Here is a 19668-nt window from a genome sequence, read left to right on the forward strand (position 1 = left end):
TAATTTATAAAGGAAAGAGGTTTAATTGACTCACAGTTCCACGTTGCTGAGGATGCCTCAGGAAACTTGCAATCATGGCAGAAGGCAAAGGGGAAGCAGGCACCTTCTTCACAAGGCAGCAGGAAAGAGAGAGGGTGAAGGAGGAACTTCCAAACACTTATAGAACCATCAGGTCTCGTGAGAACTCACTCACTATCATGAGAACTGCATGGGGGAAACCACCCCCATGATCCAATTACCTCCCATCAGGTCCCTCCTTTGACACATGGGGATTACAATTTGAGATGAGACTTGGGTAGGGACACAGAGCCAAACCATATCATTCTGCCCCTGGCCCCTCCCAAATCTCCTGTCCTTTTTACATTTCAAAACCAATCATGCCTTCCCAACAGTCCCTGAAAGTCTTAATTCATTTCAGCATTAAATCAAAAGTCAAAGTCCAAAGTCTCATCTGAGACAAGGCATGACCCTTCTGCCTATATGCCTGTAAAATCAAAACCGAGTTAGTTACTTCCAAGATACAATGGGGGTACAGGCATTGGATAAATGCTCCCATTCCAAATGGGAGAAATTGGCCAAAACAAAAGGGCTACAGGCCCCATGAAAGTCAGAAACCCAGCAGGGCAGTCATTCAATCTTAAAGCTCCAAAATGATATCCTTTGACTCCATGTCTCACACCCGGAGCACACTGACGCAAGGGGTGGCTCCCATAGCTTTGGGCAGCTCCTTCACAGGCTGGTATTGAATGACTTTTCCAGGTGCACAGTGCAATCTGTCAGTGCATCTACCATTCTGGGGTCTGGAGGACAGTGGCTGTCTTCTCACAGCTCCATTAGGCAGTGCCCCAGTGAGGATTCTGTGTTGGGGCTCCAACCCCACATTTCCCTTTTGTACTGCCTTAGCAGAGGTTCTCCATGAGTACTCCACCTCTGAAGCAGACTTCTGCCTGGACATCCAGGCATTTCCATACATCCTCTGAAATCTAGGCAAAGGTTTCTAAAGCGCACCCCTTGTCTTCTGTGCACCCACAGGCCCAACACCAGGTGGAAGCTGCCAAGGCTTGGGGCTTGCATCCTCTGAAGCAATGGCCCAAGCTGTACCTTGGCCCTTTTTAGTCACTGCTTGCACTGGCGTGACTGGGGAGCAACCATGTCCCAAGGCTGCACAGAGAAGCAGGGCCCTGAGGCTGGCCCATGAAAGCATTTTTCCCTCCTAGGCCTCCAGGCCTATGATGGGAGGGGTTGCCTTGAAGATCTCTGACATGCCTTGGAGACATTTTCCTCCATGTCTTGGTGATTAACATTCAGCTCCTTGTTACTTATGCAAATTTTTGCAGCTGGCTTCAATTTCTCCCCAGAAAATGGGGTTTTCTTTTCTACTGCATCATCAGGCTGCAAATTTTCCAAACTTTTATGCTCTGCTTCCCTTTTAAACATAAGTTCCTCATCTCCATCTGATACCACCTCAGCCTGGACTTCATTGTTCATATCACTAACAGCATTTTGGTCAAAACCATTTAACAAGTCAAGAAGTTCCAAACTTTCCCACATCCTCCTGTCTTTTTCTGAGCCCTCCAAACTGTTCCAACATCTGCTCATTCCAAAGTGGCCTTCACATTTTCAGATTATCTTTATAGCAGTACCACACTCTTGATACCCATTATATTAGTTCGTTTTCACACTGCTATAAAGAAACACCCGAAACTGGGTAATTTATAAAGGAAAGAGGTTTAACTGACTCACAATTCTGCATTGCTGGGAAGGCCTCAGGAAAGTTACAATCATGGCAGAAGGCAAAGTGGAAGCAATTACCTTCTTCACAAGGTGGCAGGAGAGAGACAGAGAGCAAAGGAGGAATTACCAAACACTTACAAAACCATCAGATTTGTGAGAATTCACTCACTATCATGAGAACCACATGGGGAAACCACCCCCATGATCTAATCACCTCCCACCAGGTTCCTCTCTTGACACATAGAGATTACAATTTGAGATGAGATTTGGTTGAAGAGACAGAGCAAAACCATATCAGTCCTCATTAGAGAGACTGCCCTCCAAGGTCTTTCTGACCCGGGGGCTCTGCTCACCCATTTTCTCCTTACTGTCACCAGGCCTGTCATCTTCATTGTTGATATCTTGTGATACAAAGACCAAAGAGGCCTTGATTTTTTTAGACTCCCAGGGTGGAGGGACAAAAGTGTCAGACTCACTCAGCCATGTTCCTCTGCCTTCCCCACTGTGTTCCTTTAGTTTCTGAACCACAAAATACCCTGACAGCTCAAGTCAGTGCCTGGGAAAGTCATGTGATGGGGCTCAGTATTTTGGCATGTTCAAGTTTGAATCTGTCTATGAGGAGAATGAAGGATCCCTGTCAGGGTCCTGCAGTAGCCAGAAGTTCCTTATGTTTTCCTTGTACATGTGCCTGTGTGTACATGTGTATGTGTGTGTGTAAATATTAATTTTTTAGTGACTACTATTGCTAGCTATTGAGTGAAGCAGTTTGCATAGATTGTTTCAATCCTTCAAAACCCTTAGCAGTAAGAACAATTATGTGATCATTTATAGGTGGGGACCCAAAATTCAGAGAAGTTATCACACCCTAGATCCTATAATACTTATGAACATTGTCATGGTTCAAAACCCAGATTCTCATGGACACCACTGTATTCTCTCCCCCTCCCTTCCTCTCTTTCTTCCTTGTTCATTATGGCCAGGTTCTCTCCCTGAAAAACTGTGTTCTGGACCCTATTTTTTTCTCCTAAGAGAGGTTAGTTCCCCTCCCCCAGTGCTATCCTAAATTCCAAGCCTGTGGTTTTAACAGATGAGAAGGAAGCAGGCAACTCAGCCCAGTGAGGCCTGGAATAGTACCAGGGATGTGGCTGCCCAGGAGCCCTGGAGCATGGCCAGGGCTGAAGCTGAATACAAGCTAAGCACCACAGGTGGGGTGGGATCTGAGAAGCCCCTGAGCTGCGTGAACAGCTTTTATTGTTCTCCCATCCTGGGCCTCTCCCTCTCCCTTCTGCATCCCAAAAGAGAGATTTAATTTTCTCAGCAGATGCTCCTGCCTCCAGCATTAGTTCTGTAGTTTTGCATCTGGTCCCCTCCAGTGCCTTTTGCAGAGCTGTGATGTGTCTTTCATTTGAGCACATGGACCTAGGGCATCCATCTATGGAGACACATGGAGGAGACGGGCCAAGAAGGAATGGACATAAAGAAATTCTAGGGCAACTCCAAAGCCCTAAATTGGAACTGGAAGCAGAATGACTAGTTAGCAATTTGGGAAGAAAAACAAATACAAATTGGAGATTTTTCTCATTCCTTATATAAATATAATTTCCACTGGATTAAAAATTAAATGTAAGATGCAAAATGATAAAAGTACAAGAGGAGAATAGGGACAGATTTAGCCAAAGGTCATTGTAAAAATCACACAAAGGCCGTGCGTGATGGCTCACACCTGTGATCCCAGCACTTTGGGAGGCTGAGGTGGGCAGATCACAAGGTCAAGAGATCGAGACAATCTTGGCCAATATGGTGAAATGCTGTCCCTACTAAAAATACAAAAATTAGCTGGGCGTGGTGGCAGGCTCCTGTAGTCTCAGCAACTCGGGAGGCTGAGGCAGGAGAATCGCTTGAACCCAGGAGGCGGAAGTTGCAGTGAGCCAAGATCACACAATTGCACTCCAGCCAGGTGACAAAGAGAGACTCCGAAAAAAAAAAAAAAAAAAAAAGACACAAAAGTCTCAAACCGTAAAGGAGAAAAGATCGATAGGATTGACCACATAATCTCAGGTATCGAGTCATCATCCTTTGACAGAAATGAAAAGATATAGAATAAAGCAAGAAGAATAAAATGTTAACAGTAGAATTTAGGCGCTGGTAGGTATATGGTTCTTCACTAAAAACTTCTATTTTTCTGCATATTTGAAATTTTTCATAATAAATAGATACAATTATATAGGGTGAGCAGCCATGCATAAAATTAGTTCAACATGTGACTACAGATATTTTTTCTCATAGAGCACATGTGACATTTTATTCAATTATTAATTTACTATCATTATTAGTCTTCAGCCACATAATTTTTTTTTCCACCAAAGTGGAGGTTATTAGCAGGTCATTTGCTTCACTCTCCTCGTCATTTAGGAAAAGGGGTAGAATTTGGTGGAACAGAAACTAAGCTTTGTTATCTATCTCCCCATTCTCACAAGCAAAGCAGGATGCATCCTCTTTCTGTGAGAAACTGAAACCTATTAATCCAAAATTAGAAGACTTGCTGTTCAGAAGTTATCCTATGAAAAAGATACTTGCTCATGAATGTTTATAGCAGTACAATTCACAATTGCAAAAATTGAAACCAACCCAAATGCCCATCAGTCAACAAGTGAATAAAGAAACTGTTATATGAATATATATATATATATATATATATATATACACACACATATACATATATACAGATATATGATGGAATACTACTCAGCCACAAAAAAAGAATGAATTAATGGCATTTGCAGCAACCTGGATGAGATTGGAGACTATCATTCTAAGTGAAGTAACTCAAAAATGTAAAACCAAACATCATTTGTTCTCACTTATAATTGGTAGCTAAGCTAGGAGTATGCAAAAGCATAAGAATGACATGATGGACTCTGGGGACTCAGAGGGAAAGGGTGGGAAGGGGGTGAGGGATAAAAGATGACAAATTGGGTTCAGTGTATAGTGCTCGGGAGATGGGTGCACCAAAATCTCACAAATCACCACTAAAGAGCTTACTCATGTACCAAATAACACCTGTTCCCAAAAAAAACTATGGAAATATTTCTTTTTAAAAAAAATATAAGATTTTGAGTAGCAGGAGGCAATAGGGTGGCTTTGTTCTTTTCTGCAGTTTTAGTCCTCACCCTGATCTGTCAGGCCAGAAAGTGCCTCTGCCATGACTGAACCCTCTGGTCCCTTCAGGAAGCAAGAAGGTGTCCAGAAAGCACTACAGGCAGAAATCTCAGCCCCAGCCCTACCTGGCAATGATAGGAGCTAGGCCAGTGACACCTATGATAGCTAAAAATCCAGAAGAGACACTCCCAGTGCTGGAGAAAGCTCAGGGGGGATCCAGAGCCAAAAAGAACTGCACAATCTCTTGGTTCCCCTTATTTATGTATTACACAACAAAGGTTTTTGATAACTATGCCTGGTACTTTTATCTTCAGTATATAGATATCTGCCTTCCCCACTAACTTTATATAAAATAGTAAAGCATTCATAGATTTAGAAGCATATGACTTTCACTGGGGGTAAAGCCACTGAATCCTGGAAGAGGTTTTGGAGAGTACTTACAGCATTGTTTTTCAGGAAGTTCTAGACTCTTGAGAACTGAGCAGTCTCCAGAGTTTCCACACCCTGCTCCCCTTCCTCTCCCTCCAGCTCTTTTAAGCTGGAGAAGTGTGAAGAAAGCCCCTCCCTTTGCTCCACTTTCAGGTGATTTTGTGAGGACCAAATATTTGGAGCCTTGGCAGCCACCTTGTGCCAATGAGGAAAGACCAAAAGAATTGCAGAGGCTTTTCCAGAGCTCTGACTCGAGTCAATGAACCAATCCTAGAAACACCTGTTGCTTGTTGGGTGAGAAGTTTCCTGGTGATTAGGCTGCATCCACTCGGGCAAAGCACACAAGCAGGTGGACTCACTGATTAGTGAGGAGGCAGCGGGCAAACTAATTATTACTGCACAGGCAGAAAGTGCTCTGACGGCAGTAAGTCTAAGATGATGGGGGACATCTAATTCAAACTTGGGGGGTCAAGGAAGCCTTCCCAGAGGAGGTAAGCCCTGAGCTGTGAAACATAGGATAAGCAAGAGTCATCTCCATCAGGTAGGAGGTAGGGGCCTCAGACCACCTGTCCAGGGTTGAAAGAGAGACAGAACATGCCAGTGTGGCTGCCGGGGAAGGAGCATCTAACATAAGATGAGGATGGAGAGGTGGGCAGGGGTCAGCCCAACCAAGAGCAATGGAGAGCCATGGAAGAATTTTTAACAGAAAATTAGATGTGTAATTTAGAATAATCACAGTGAGTACTGTTGAATTGCTGGCTGGATACAATAAGAGAATAGTAATAGCTAATATTTATACAACACTATGTGACAGACTCTAGGCACTTTATAGGCATTAGAACATTAGATTACTTAATCCATATGTTTTGCTAATATATATATTAACAATAGTAGTAGTTAATATATATGATTACTAACAATAGTAATTATGTGAGAGAGATAGACCATATATATTTTTAGTAATTACAGGAGAGATATATATGATATATATTATATACATCTCTCACATAACTATTGTTAGCAATCATATATGTTAACTATTACTATTGTTACATAGTATATATCTCTCACATGATTATGCTTGTTGTATATTTACAAGTATATATGGTGGGGGGCACATTGGGGATGTCTCATCTCCATATCTCATATTCATCTTGTAGTATGTGTATATAGATAGATAGAAGATAGATAGATAAATATCTCACATGATTATATATATATATATATTATACTGTGAGTATAATATATATATACTCACAGGTGTCCCACAGCCCATAGCAAATATAGGGAGAGGTATATATCATATGTATCTCTCTCACATGGTTACTATTGTTATCCCCACTTACAGATAAGGAAACTGAGTCAAGTGTAAAAACAAGAATCTGTAGCCCCACTGCCTACCTGAGCCTGAGTGCCACGTGGCACTTGGAGGAACAGCAGTGGCTGGAGGCTAATTTCCTGTTTGCACTTTGAAGGTTACTGTCCCTGGTCAGAGACTCTGATGGGACACAAGTGTGGAGTCTGTGAGCTCTGACACAGACTTTTACTTGGCAAAGGTTCGGAAAAATCAAGTGGCTGTTAAGAAGATATATGATTTCTACTGAGGGCCACGCAAAAGGCAAGTGTCTCACGGATGAACTGAGTTTGCTCTTTTGATCCTGAGAACAGCTCTGTCGAATTGGGGAGGTGTTCTGGACATTTTACAGATGACGAAACTGAGGCCCAGAAAAGTTAAGTGACTCACCCAGGGTCGCAGTGTTACTAGAAGGTGTGCAGTGGTCTTCCAGGGAAGATCCTCTTGTATCAGAAGGAAGAGATGATCAGTTCAGAAGGCCCGAGAAAAGACAAGGTCATTTGAAAGTGATAGTTCATCCAGGTGTGATCCTGGAGCACGAAGTGACAAAAAAGTCACATGTCAAGGCACCGACGTAGAAAGGGTCTCCCTGTCTCAGAGCCCACCTGGTCTCTTCCTTCTCAGGGTGGCTCCTCTCTCTCTCTCTGCCTCTGCCCCTTGTCTTAGCCCAGCATGGGTGCAGGTCCCAGGTTCTGTGACATCACAGTTCAGGGCCCAAAGCCCAATCTCGGATCACGGCATTGAGAGTATCTGATTGGCCACTGGCCAGCCAATGGTGGGGCAAACTTTGGAGCAGGCTATCACGGTTGGAACAATCAGTGCTGAAGGAGTTGAAGAGGATGGGCAAGCCACGGCTTCTCCTTCTGGAAACGGAGATCATCTCCAAAGAAGACCATCATTTTCTACTATGGACAATGTGGATGCTAGTTCTCTCCCATTCACAGGTTCAGCACATGTTACAGAAGAGCGTTTTCCTTCAGAGATTATTCACAGATGTCCCACAGCCCATAGCAAATACAGGGCATATTAAGTTCAAATAAATATATGCAAATATGTGAGTGTATTGACATAAATACTGCATTTATATTCATATACTATACTTAAAAGTATTGAATATATTTTCATGTATGTTTATATTATATATATGTATTTCAAGCTCTATTGTATATATGAATTTATTATATATTAATGTATACTACATAAATATGAATATATGAATTCAATATATTTCAATTAGTTGTCCATATCTAAAGAGACTTCACGTAAGAATTCATGTTTTAAGGTATCTTTTAAAACGAAAATCAATGTACCATAGAAGTAGGTAACATCTATGTAGCATTTCCAGTGTGCTACCCCTGTTTTAAATGATTTCTCTGCATTTATGTATTTAATCCTGGACTCAACACTCACCATGAGGCTGACACTGTTAGTTTTCCTGTTTTACTAATCAGAAAACAGACCCTGATAAGTTAGCTGACTGGGCCAAGGTCCCACAGCTAGTTGGTGGCCCCGCTGGGATTAGTAGCTGCAGTGTGGCTCTGAAGCCCTTCCTGTCAGCACCTAGGGGCAGTGACCTTTGGGACAGGCGGCTCTGGCTGCCACGGGCAGCAGGTGGCTGAGGCTGAGTGTCCCCAAGAAGCAGAGTTTTGGCTGGTAACTTTGTTCCAGTGCCAACAGGCCAAGACACACTTCCACGCTGCCTGCCTAACCACTGTGGGCTTTCACATTTGTTATTCTGATAGGTTACAGGGCTTGAAAATTCCTATATGAGCTGCACTTGGAGTTTTAAAACACATTTCATTTTCTAAATTTGAACGTAAATTAACTCATCAACAAAAGGAAAACCAGAACTAAAGTTTGGATAAAGAAAGCCCCTGTTGTGGCTATAAATTCTGTTCTCAATGGTATAGTTCAGGCTTCTTCAAGTAGATTGAGCCCTGAGAACTTGTCTATTGTATTTTCCCCTGGTGAATCAGTCAGACAAATGGGGGCACCTTAATTCAGAAAGAAACAGCCCAGCTGTGACATTTGTCACTGCAGAGGCCTGGCCCATCGGTCAATCCCTTGTCCCTGGGCTGACAGCTCTGTGTTCCCCTGTGGTCCCACTGCTGTCTGACCACCTCCTCTCCTGACTGATGATGACACCTCTTTGCAGGTGTGGAAATGGCCTGTAGCCTGCAGGAGCCTGAGGAGAAGAGAGGAGCTAGCAGCCCCAGTCAAGTCTAGCGAAGTGCATCTTGGCCTGCAGTGATGGCTGTTTCCCCCAGAAAGGTCAGTAGCACAGAAGCCGCTCATAGCCTTCCTGAAGTGGGCATGACTCCCTGTGTCCTATCCACTGACAATGCCCATATTTCACCAGTGAGGCCTGGACGGTTTGCCATTGACGAGTGTCAGGTAGAATTTCCCATTGTCTCTTCTCATCTTCTGGCATTGAGTGGCCAGTCTCTTCCTTTTATTAGTCATATCAGGCGTCCTCTGACAGATGCACAGGGAGACGGAAGGTTTTGGGTTTTCTGCTGTGGCGACGAGGACCTGGCTCACACGGTTATGGAGATGAGACTTCCCACGATGTGCCCCCCACCATCTGAAGACCCAGGAACGCCAGTGGTGTAATTCAGTCTGAGCTCAAAGGCCTGAGAACCAGTGGGGGCTGATAATACAAATCCCAATCTCATGGCAGGATAAGATGAGAAGTCTGAGGTCAAGCAATGAGGCAGAAAAAAATAAACAAGGGGGAGAATTCTCATTTCTCTGCCTTTTGTTCTATTTGGGCCCTCAATGGATTGGTTGGTGCCCACACGCTTTGGGGAAGGGGAAATATTACACTTCATTGAGTCCACCAATTCAAATGCTAATCTCATCAGCAAATATCCTGAAAGATACACTCAGAAATGATGTTCGATATGAGCACCTCAGGGCCCAGTCGAATTGGCATATACATTAACTATCACACTCTAATCAACCCTTTTCACCTGAGGAAAGTTTTCAGGTTTTTGAGTCAGAAGGGACAATTGTGTCCTTGAAGACAGCAGGTAATTTCCTTACACAGTTTGTCTCCTGTACTGATATTTCTTGTCCAACTCATGATTTTATTTTTCAAAGAACGTACCCAATACGGGAAAAAAAAAATACTGTGGGATATAACAGTCAACCACAAACAGCAATTATAAATCTTTTTTTAAAAAATTATACAAGTTTTAGGGTACATGTGCACAACGTGCAGGCTTGTTACATATGTATACATGTGCCATGTTGGTGTACTGCACCCATTAACTCGTCATTTACATTAGGTATATCCCCTAATGCTATCCCTCCCCCCTCCCCCAACCCCACAACAGGCCCCGGTGTGTGATGTTCCCCTTCCTGTGTCCATGTATTCTCATTGTTCAATTCCCACCTATAAGTGAGAACATGCGGTGTTTGGTTTTTTGTTCTTGCGATAGTTTGCTGAGAATGGTGGTTTCCAGCTTCATCCATGTCCCTACAAAGGACATGATCTCATCATTTTTTTATAGCAAAACAGAGATATAGACCAATGGAACAGAACAGAGCCCTCAGAAATAATGCCACATATCTACAACTATCTGATCTTTGACAAACCTGACAAAAACAAGAAATGGGGAAAGGATTCCCTATTTAATAAATGGTGCTGGGAAAACTGGCTAGCCATATGTAGAAAGCTGAAACTGGATCCCTTCCTTATACCTTATACAAAAATTAATTCAAGGTGGATTAAAGACTTAAATGTTAGACCTAAAACCATAAAAACCCTAGAAGAAAACCTAGGCAATACCATTCAGGACATAGGCATGGGCAAGGACTTCATGTCTACAACACCAAAAGCAATGGCAACATAAGCCAAAATTGACAAATGGGATCTAATTAAACTAAAGAGCTTCTGCACAGAAAAAGAAACTACCATCAGAGTGAACAGGCAACCTACAAAATGGGAGAAAATTTTTGCAATCTACTCATCTGACACAGGGCTAATATCCAGAATCTACAAAGAACTCAAACAAATTTACAAGAAGAAAAACAAACAACCCAATCAACAATTGGCTGAAGGATATGAACAGACACTTCTCAAAAGAAGACATCTATGCAGCCAAAAGACACATGAAAAAATGCTCATCATCACTGGCCATCAGAGAAATGCAAATCAAAACCACAATGAGATACCATCTCAACCAGTTAGAATGGAGATCATTAAAAAGTCAGGAAACAACAGGTGCTGGAGAGGATGTGGAGAAATAGGAACACTTTTACACTGTTTGTGGAACTGTAAACTAGTTCAACCATTGTGGAAGTCAGTGTGGCGATTCCTCAGGGATCTAGAACTAGAAATACCATTTGACCCAGCCATCCCATTACTGGGTATATACCCAAAGGATTATAAATCATGCTGCTATAAAGACACATGCACATGTAGGTTTATTGTGGCACTATTCACAATAGCAAAGACTTGGAACTAACCCAAATGTCCAACAATGATAGACTGGATTAAGCAATTATAAATCTTTTGTGCATTTTTTCTTACTTGAAAATGTTAAAACCATCAGAGAATACAGAAAGCACCACACTTCAACCCAGTGTCTGTGGTCATTGAGACAAGTGGTGTATTTAGATACAACAGTGAAGCATCATGTTCCTTCGGGGCCCCCATGAGCACCAGCCACTCAGCAGCCCAGGGGCAGAAGTCCCTGTGCATAAAACCTGTCCCTGAAGTGATTAATAACCATGGTCGCAGACAGTCATTAGGAGACCTTAGTCATTTGCTGCATGATGGAGACGCCAAGTCTAAGAAAACTGCCTTTGAATGTTTTGCTAAACTCCATTGAATTGAGGAAAAAATCTGACATGCATAATCAGTTCTTACAGACCCAAGAGCAAGAAGAATTCAGTGACAAATGTATTGAGTGTGCCTGAGGAAACATCTATTTCACATCCACAAGAAACCATTCATTCTTATACTGCACAGCTTAGGCTAGACAGGAGAGAGATTGATGTTGATTATTTTTGTAGTGGGAGAAGGTCACATGTTAGGCAAGTTATGCCCACCAAAGTCACCTATCCCCTGGATACAGAGTCTCGATATTCATCCCTAGACAGAAGGGCTTTGCCACATCAGTTTTTTCCACTTCAGATCCCTGATGAAAGAATCATGGTGGGAGACAATACTTGTGCTCCTTTCAAATAGGTAACAAATCATGACAAATGTGCACAACGAAGAACTCTTGACTGGCAGACGTCAAAGAGCATGCTAAGAGATAAAATTATCATCATGTCTCACCTCCTTGCTAACTCCAATCTAACTCCTTTAAAATATTCTGAGTTTACGACATGTGGGACACTGGACTTCCAAATCACACGTTGTCCACGTGATTCCTTTCAGGGATCCGCTAGTGGTGGGTGGAGAGTTTCATAGGTTTTGGCTTTGCTAATAGCTCTCTGATCACACTTCCCCTTGCCTGGTTTGCCACTTTGGAGGGGTCTTCAATGAGGCTTGCGTGGTTCTAGTTTCACATGCAGAAAGTGCATTTGGTCATCAACTCAAATGTGTATTTCTTTTGTTAGATAATTCACTCAGTAACTAGAGATGATCAAGAAGTTTAAAACTGGAAGATAATCAATTGCTGACAATGACACTCTTCAGGGCAGGTGAACCAGTGTACAGATGACCCAGGCTGGCTCAGTGTACCTGTAGTGATATAGTGATGGCCAAGGACACGCAAGTGTGTGACAGTAAAGCCATCTCTATTGTTCATGAATTGCATCAAAGCACAGATCATCATATCCTATTAATGAGGGCCACTTTACTACTCAAATGTAAGTACAAGAACCCTAATAATTCTCTCTGTGCTTTTACCCACAGTTCTTCCACTTCTGGATCCCACCTCGACTGAACCTTACACAATCTACTGCTGGACTTTCCAATGGCATGAGTTGGTAAATCATCTCATTTTTGCAAAAGCAAGTGTAACTTGAGTTTCCATCACTTGCAGCTGAGAGAACACTTGTTCTTGAATTTTATCCACAATGAGGTGCTGGATGTTTTCTGTTTGCCCCATGAACTCACTCTCTGCCTTCCCTGTCTTGCTGTCTACCCTTATTGGTTCTTTTTTCCTTTCTGCTTTGGTTTCCAGTTGGCTCTGGCCAATGATAGAAGACGATAAAAGAGCGAGGGAGAATAAAGTCATGTGTTTATTTCTTCAGCGTTCTCCAAGCAGGGTTGCCAACTGCCTGGGCGTGTTTTGTCACAGATCTCATAGCTTCTCTCAAGGCAGCCTGCTCCATCTGATTCTCCCCTTCTGAATTATAACCAGTTTTCACTGAGTACTTTCTATACTCAGGAACAGTGAGAGCTATCTTGTATACATTAGTTCCCTAAGTCCACTTCTACAGGAAATGTTTGTTAGAATTATTGCTTTGTTATAAATAAGGAACTTGAGAGGGACAGAGAACTCTAGTAACTCGTCAAAAGTCCTGTGCACCTCTGTGATCCCCTTACAGGCTAAAAATCTGACTCCACCAACACCGACTCTGGCTTCGAGCTTCATATTTCCCCAGTCCCCCTCACCCTTCACCTTCCCTTCTCAAAGTTACCCAATAGCTCCCAATCACTCACTGGATGCAAGTTCTCAGTTTTCTGGACTGACTTGATCAAGGCTGGTATTGGTTAGTCTCCTGCTTACCTGCCCAGCCAGCCTCATCTCCTGTCTTTTGCCTCATTCCAGTCCTGAATTTTATGCTGTAAGGATGAAGAATCATTCCTCTTTTTCCAGTACCCATTAGAGTTTCCAACTCTGAGCTTTTTTATATTCTAGATCTTCTTCTTGCGATAGTCTATATATGTTGCTATAGAGACTTGAACAAAGATAATGGCACTAAACATGAAGAGAAGGATGTGATAGACATAACTGATGGAGTATACTGTAGATGCTGATGGAGTATAGAGCCTGCTGAACTGCAGAGGCAGGAAGGAAGAAAAACACGTGCCTCTACAGTGATAGGATGATGCAGTAACCAATATCAGCATGGAAACTTGGAAGAAAAGATGAGATAATTGCTGCAGTTTCCTGAAGTGACTCAATTTTTCCTTTGGAGATGGCACACTGAGTATCCATCTTCTCTCCATGATTGTCCAACCTCCTTGAAGTTAGGTGGGGCTTTGTGACTCCTTTTGCTAGTGGGTTGAGCAGAAGTGAGATCTCTGCTGGGCTCAAGCATGGAAAGGCTGACTCCTGAACTTCCAGCTTCTCTTCCCAGTGGCAGAAAAGCAGAAGCCACAGTCAAGAGGGAGGAGCCACAAAATGGAACCAGCCTCAATTGCCGAGGCTGAGCTCACATCTTATTTTGCAAAACAGAACTCAACCTGTGATAAGATAAACCAGTGATAGTTTGGAGTGTTGGCAATTCCAGCATGACCTTCCACTCCTGAACAGTACCTCTCCTCTAATAGCAGCAATTATGTGAGGAATTGTGTCCCCCTCCCTCGCTGAAATGTATATATTGAAATCCCAGCCTGCAGTGCCTAGAAGGTAATCCTATCAGAAGACACAGTCTTTAAAGAAATAATTAAATTAAAATGAAGTCTTCAGGGTGGGTCATAATCCAATGCGACTAGTGTCCTCATAAGAAGAGGAAATTTGGACAGAAGTACCTGTGCACACAGAGGAAAGACCATGGGAAGATGCAGAGAGAACACAGCCATCTGGGAACCAAAGGGAGAGGCCGCCAAAGAAACCAACCCTGTCTGCATCCTGATCTTGGATTTCCATATTATGGAAGCTTCCATGTTATGAGAAAATAAATTTCTATTTTTTTAGACACCCAGTCTGTGTTCTTTTGTTATGACAGCACTAACAAACTAATACAGCACCATTTTTTCCCTTTCCTTTTGGAGAAGCACCACACCATATTCAGCCTATGCTGTCAGGTGGAGCTGACTCCCACCCTGGCTATGGGGTGAGCTAATGATCCAGGATGGCCAATCAGAGCCTTCCACCCTACTGTCAACAATGAGTGCTTTGGGAATGAGCCAGCAATGACATCCAAGTTAATAAGAACTGGTGAGCACTGCATGGAAGACTTCATGTTTTAAATGTTGGAATTAAGAAACGGTATCTCCTGCAGAGATAACCAAACTCATGGAATATGTCCAATATCACCAAGACAAAACCTTCTTGGGATTGAGGCAAATTATAAAGAAAGAACAGAACAAAAGAGCAAGGATACAAAGAAGAAAACAATTGCTGACCGAAGTGTTTCAATTCCTGGATCCCTTCCTGACTGAACCCTCAGATCAATTCCTGGGTGTGAGGCAGTAAGTTAGCTCGTTTTGCTGAAGTAAGTGTTCTGTCACTTGCAGCTGAATGGATCCTGCCTGATTAATACAATAGAATTTCATGTAATGATAAGAACCAAATCTAAAATTCTTAGCAGACACTAAGCATTTTACACAGGTTATTTAATCCTCATAATTATTTAAACTATGGGACTACTATTATCTTCGTTTTATAGATAAGGAACATGAAGCTAGAGGAGATAAGTTCTCATTGGCTGAGCTGGAATTTGCATGCATTTGCCTCTAACTGCACAGACTGTCTTCTGAACCCCGTCAGACTTTCACCCTTCCTTTTTTGAAGCTTTACAGACCCCACGGGTTAATATCAATCAATACTCTTATTTTGTAGATTAGCAAACTTAATCATTTGAAAGTTAAATATCTTGGTAACAGTCAAAGTCTAACACAAATCTGGCAGAATTAAAATTCCATTCATTTTGAGTCCACAGGAGAAGGCTCCTTTAAAATTCTAATTTTCCTGGGCAATGCTGATGTTGAACTCTTAGAAGCTAAATCCTTCGTTGCTAATTCTCACTGCAACAACAACCAGGGCACTGTCCACATATGAGCACACATAGGACACAGGTGAGGAGGGACAGCGAAGACACTGGCTGCCAACTGAATTTACTGAGTGCTTTCTGCATGACAGCCACTGTGCCAGTCATTCTCCACACACTGGCTAATTTAATCCTCACATCTCTCCTGTGATGTATGTCATGTAAAGTATCCCATTTTATGGATGAGAAAAACTGAGGGTAGGTACCTTGCCCAAGGTCAGACCACTGGTAGAGTGTGCGGAGGGGGTCACGGGGAGGGGAGAGGGTTGCCGACCTCCACTGACCCTGAACCCTTGGTTGTGAAAGGAGCACCTCCCTCCCCACAGCCCTCTCTCTAGTGCTGGACACTGAGAAGTCTAGTCTCCTGCCTGCAAGATTCCAAGGCTTTATAATTGCCACAGAATCCTCAAAGCGTGGTCTATCTATTTCCCTTTACGGGCAAGATTATCACCAGGGAAAAATGGGAGAGGGGCTCTATGATCCCAGAGTGTCCCCAGAATGGATCGATGGCCTCTGTCATTACACACCAAACCCTGGGGTATAACATAAGCCTGAGCTGGGATGCTGTTTTCCAGGCAGAGAGAACCGTCATTTCGGTGAATGTTGTCTAAGCTCACTGGGGCCTCCTCCTGGAAAATGAATCTGGCCTCTCAGTTCCATTCCAGGTAGCAGCTGGTAGGACCACTTATGTGGAAGGCTGGCTGGGGGCATCACTATGACATGTGGCCCAAGAGATGGCAAGGAATGAGGTAGGATGGATGCCTGATGCCAGATGCTGCAGCTTTTCCTTATCAGAGCAACAGCCCCAGGACATACCACATTTAAAAGTGGTGATGCAGTTTGTTCCCTTTTTCTCTTATCCTTACATGTTCTTGGGGATTATAGCAGTCATATTGGCTTGGGATTTGAGTGAAAATCATTTTCAGGCCAAAGATGGTGACCTGAGAATCACTAACCCATTGGCTCATTGCTCAATTTTCACTTAGTTTGTGGTGTCCTCTTCTATTAATTCAAATGACTTTTTATTATAAAATTATTATTTTTTTTGAGATGAAGTTTCTCTCTTGTTGCTCAGGCTGGGGTGCAATAGAGCGATCTCAGCTCATGGCAACCTCTGCCTCCCAGGTTCAAGCGATTCTCCTGCCTCAGCCTCCCGAGTAGCTGGGTTTACAGGCATACACCACCACGCCAGGCTAATTTCTCGTATATTTAGTAGAGACAGGGTTTCTCCATATTGGTCAGGTTGGTCTCAAACTCCCGACCTCAGGTGATCTACCCGCCTCGGCCTCCCAAAGTGATGGGATTACATATATATATATATACGTATATATATACGTATATATATATTATATACGTATATATATACACGTATATATATACGTATATATACACGTATATATACATATATACATATATACACATATATACATATATATACATATATATACACATATACATATATATACATATATACATATATATACATATATACATATATATACACATATATATATATAGCGAAAAACAATCTTTAAAAAATCACCAGAAAATGTAGTGCTTATAGACAGACGACTTATCTTTTGTTAATCACACCTCATCCTCCTTTTTCACACATACATACAGTCTAAGTACCAGATTTGCACATTCAGTTTCAGCAAGAAGAATTCATTTAATTCCCCCACTCTCTGCTCACAAGACCTATTCTCAGGATCCATTTCTAACGCTGAAGCAGCTGAGGCTCCAAGACAAGGGCTCCGTGCCACTGTGCAGTTGGCTTGAAGTTACAGAAGTTCTCCTTTTAGGGCTCTGGAAGTTGGCTGACTCATGGCAGGGCCAGGAGCACTTGCTGTATGCAGGGCTCTCATGTGCTTTGCTGCTTTCTGATTAGTTACTGTTAATATTTCATTGGGTTTCCTTTGTTTCTGTTTAGCAAAAGAGGTGGCCTTACAGCTTGAATTACGTGAATATCATGTATCATGTTATGTTTTCATTGTGAGTTGGCTTAAATGATTACTCTAAAGTGCTTGATATGGTTTGGCTGTGTCCCCACCCAAATCTCATCTAGAATTGTAACTCCCATAATCCCCATGTGTCATGGGAGGGGCCTGGTGGGAGAGAATTGAATCATGGGGGCAGGTTTTTCCTGTGCTGTTCTCATGATAATGAATAAGTCTCACAAGATCTGACGGTTTTATAAAGGACAGTTCCCCTGCACACACTTCCCTGTCTGCCACCATGTAAGATGTGTCTTTGCTCCTCCTTCATCTTCCATCATGATTGTGAGGCCTCCCCAGCCATGCTGAACTACGAGTCAATTAACTCTCTTTCCTTTGTAAATCACCCAGTCTCAGGTTATGTCTTTATTGGCAGCATGAGAACAGACTAATACAGTGCTTAAAGAGAAAATATGGACAATCAGATTATAGTCATTCTCGAGGAAAATACTTCCTGTGGACTGCTAACTCCTGGAATAATTATTTCAGTTTTTGTAAGATTTGATGTTATTTAGGAATGCATAATAATAACTGTGGCATTGAGGAACTCATAAAACTATTCTTGTGGAAATTAACTACATTATGTTGTATAACATTCAACATTGTGTAACATTCAACAATGCATCCTGTGATGTATATTTCAAGAGCATATTGTATGGGTAAACTGGGACACTGGAGAGGGAATAAGATCCTTTCTGTATAAACAGGATAGACGGAGGGGCCATGCATTTTTGCTCATCACTGAATCTGGAATGCTTAGCATAGAATAAAATAGCAGATACTTTATACATGTTGTTAACTAGTAACTAGTTAATTAAAAGATTTCATAATTTCATGTGTAATTTTTTGGTGCCAGTCAACATTATGTCAGAAGATACCTTCATTCTGCTGAAAGAGTCAGTGGAAATGAAGGAGTTAGAAAATGATGATGGGGTCTGTAAACTGACAGGCCAGTTAGCAAACGTCATGCAGTTACATCAGCCAGGTCGCTCCTGTGCTTAAAACATTTGTACCAGACATTCTGTAGATCATCAGGTCCTTGGCTTTGAGTTCTTCTTCTTTCTTGAGACCATTTCAGCATTCATGAACACCTACTCTTTCCATAGGCAGGTGACCCGAAACTATTGTCCACAAAGCACTAACAGAGCATTTTGGGGTAACGTAAAAAACTATAAAAAGGGGTTGTTCGTTTATGAAATTTTCATTATAGCTGGAGGACATATAAAAATAATCTCAAAGCTCATGTGGGATAAATTATAAATCTATGTATATAGCTTATATCACTATATATGAGTTTTTAAAAATTCTGTACAAGCAGAAAACACAAGGACACACCTAGGCATCAGTTTGATTCCCTAGTTAGCAGGAAGGGAATATGAAAGTATTTTAGAATGATGGGTCTGATGATGAGGAAAAAGGGCAGGGAAAGAAACAAGCGTTCATTTGTTGACTAAGATCAAAGGCAATGTGCTAGACACTTCACAAATGCCACTGCATTTTTATCCCAAACACCTTATAATGGCCAGGGGTGTGACCTAATTCACCCACATGCCCACAGATGCTGTGTGCAGAATGAAAGAGGAGACCCAGTTCCTCTGTCCCCTATTCCACCTCAGCACCTTGCCCCTCGAGGTTCTGTAATGGTTCTGCCTTCAATAACATGCAGGCTGATCAGTCTCTTGTTGGGGTGGCAGAGACTGGGATCCAGTGGGCTCCCTTCTTAATGCACTTTAGATGACCTACTATTTCAGCCTCTCAACCCAACACTTCCTAAGACCATTCCTAATGAGCCACAACATGCTTTAGGTATACTTCATCTATACATATTGACAGACAAGGTTCATTTTAAGCAAATTTAGTTGAACAATTATGAGCCCCTTGAGGCTAAGGACAACATTTATCTCCTTACCACCCAAAACCCATGGCCAAGAACAATCTCCCACACGTGTTAGGGGTCAGAGAGTGGCAGAAAATGAATATGCATTATAAAAAATCATGATCTATGGTATTAAGAACCTGGATTAAAAATAATTTGTTCTTATATTTATGTGTGTGCTGTTCTTTTATGTGTGTGTGCGTGTGTCCTACTATATATAA

General features: G+C 42.3%; 2 long non-coding RNA genes across 4 annotated transcripts in view; one reads left to right on the plus strand and one right to left on the minus strand.

The window, feature by feature from the left end:
* Positions 1-7350, minus strand: part of LOC100996671 (uncharacterized) — a 37373-nt gene extending 30023 nt beyond the window's left edge. For all 3 annotated transcript variants that reach the window (NR_110035.2, NR_110034.2, NR_110036.2), the window contains exon 1: positions 7067-7350. This is a non-coding gene — a long non-coding RNA (uncharacterized LOC100996671). The remainder of the gene's footprint in view (positions 1-7066) is intronic.
* A 97-nt stretch (positions 7351-7447) lies between these two features.
* Positions 7448-19668, plus strand: part of LINC02824 (long intergenic non-protein coding RNA 2824) — a 29915-nt gene continuing 17694 nt past the window's right edge. Inside the window, exons 1-3 of the long non-coding RNA NR_183614.1 lie at positions 7448-7620; positions 8832-8947; positions 12549-12622. This is a non-coding gene — a long non-coding RNA (long intergenic non-protein coding RNA 2824). The remainder of the gene's footprint in view (positions 7621-8831; positions 8948-12548; positions 12623-19668) is intronic.

This window comes from Homo sapiens, chromosome 12 (genome assembly GCF_000001405.40).
Source record: "Homo sapiens chromosome 12, GRCh38.p14 Primary Assembly".
NCBI lineage: Eukaryota > Metazoa > Chordata > Mammalia > Primates > Hominidae > Homo > Homo sapiens.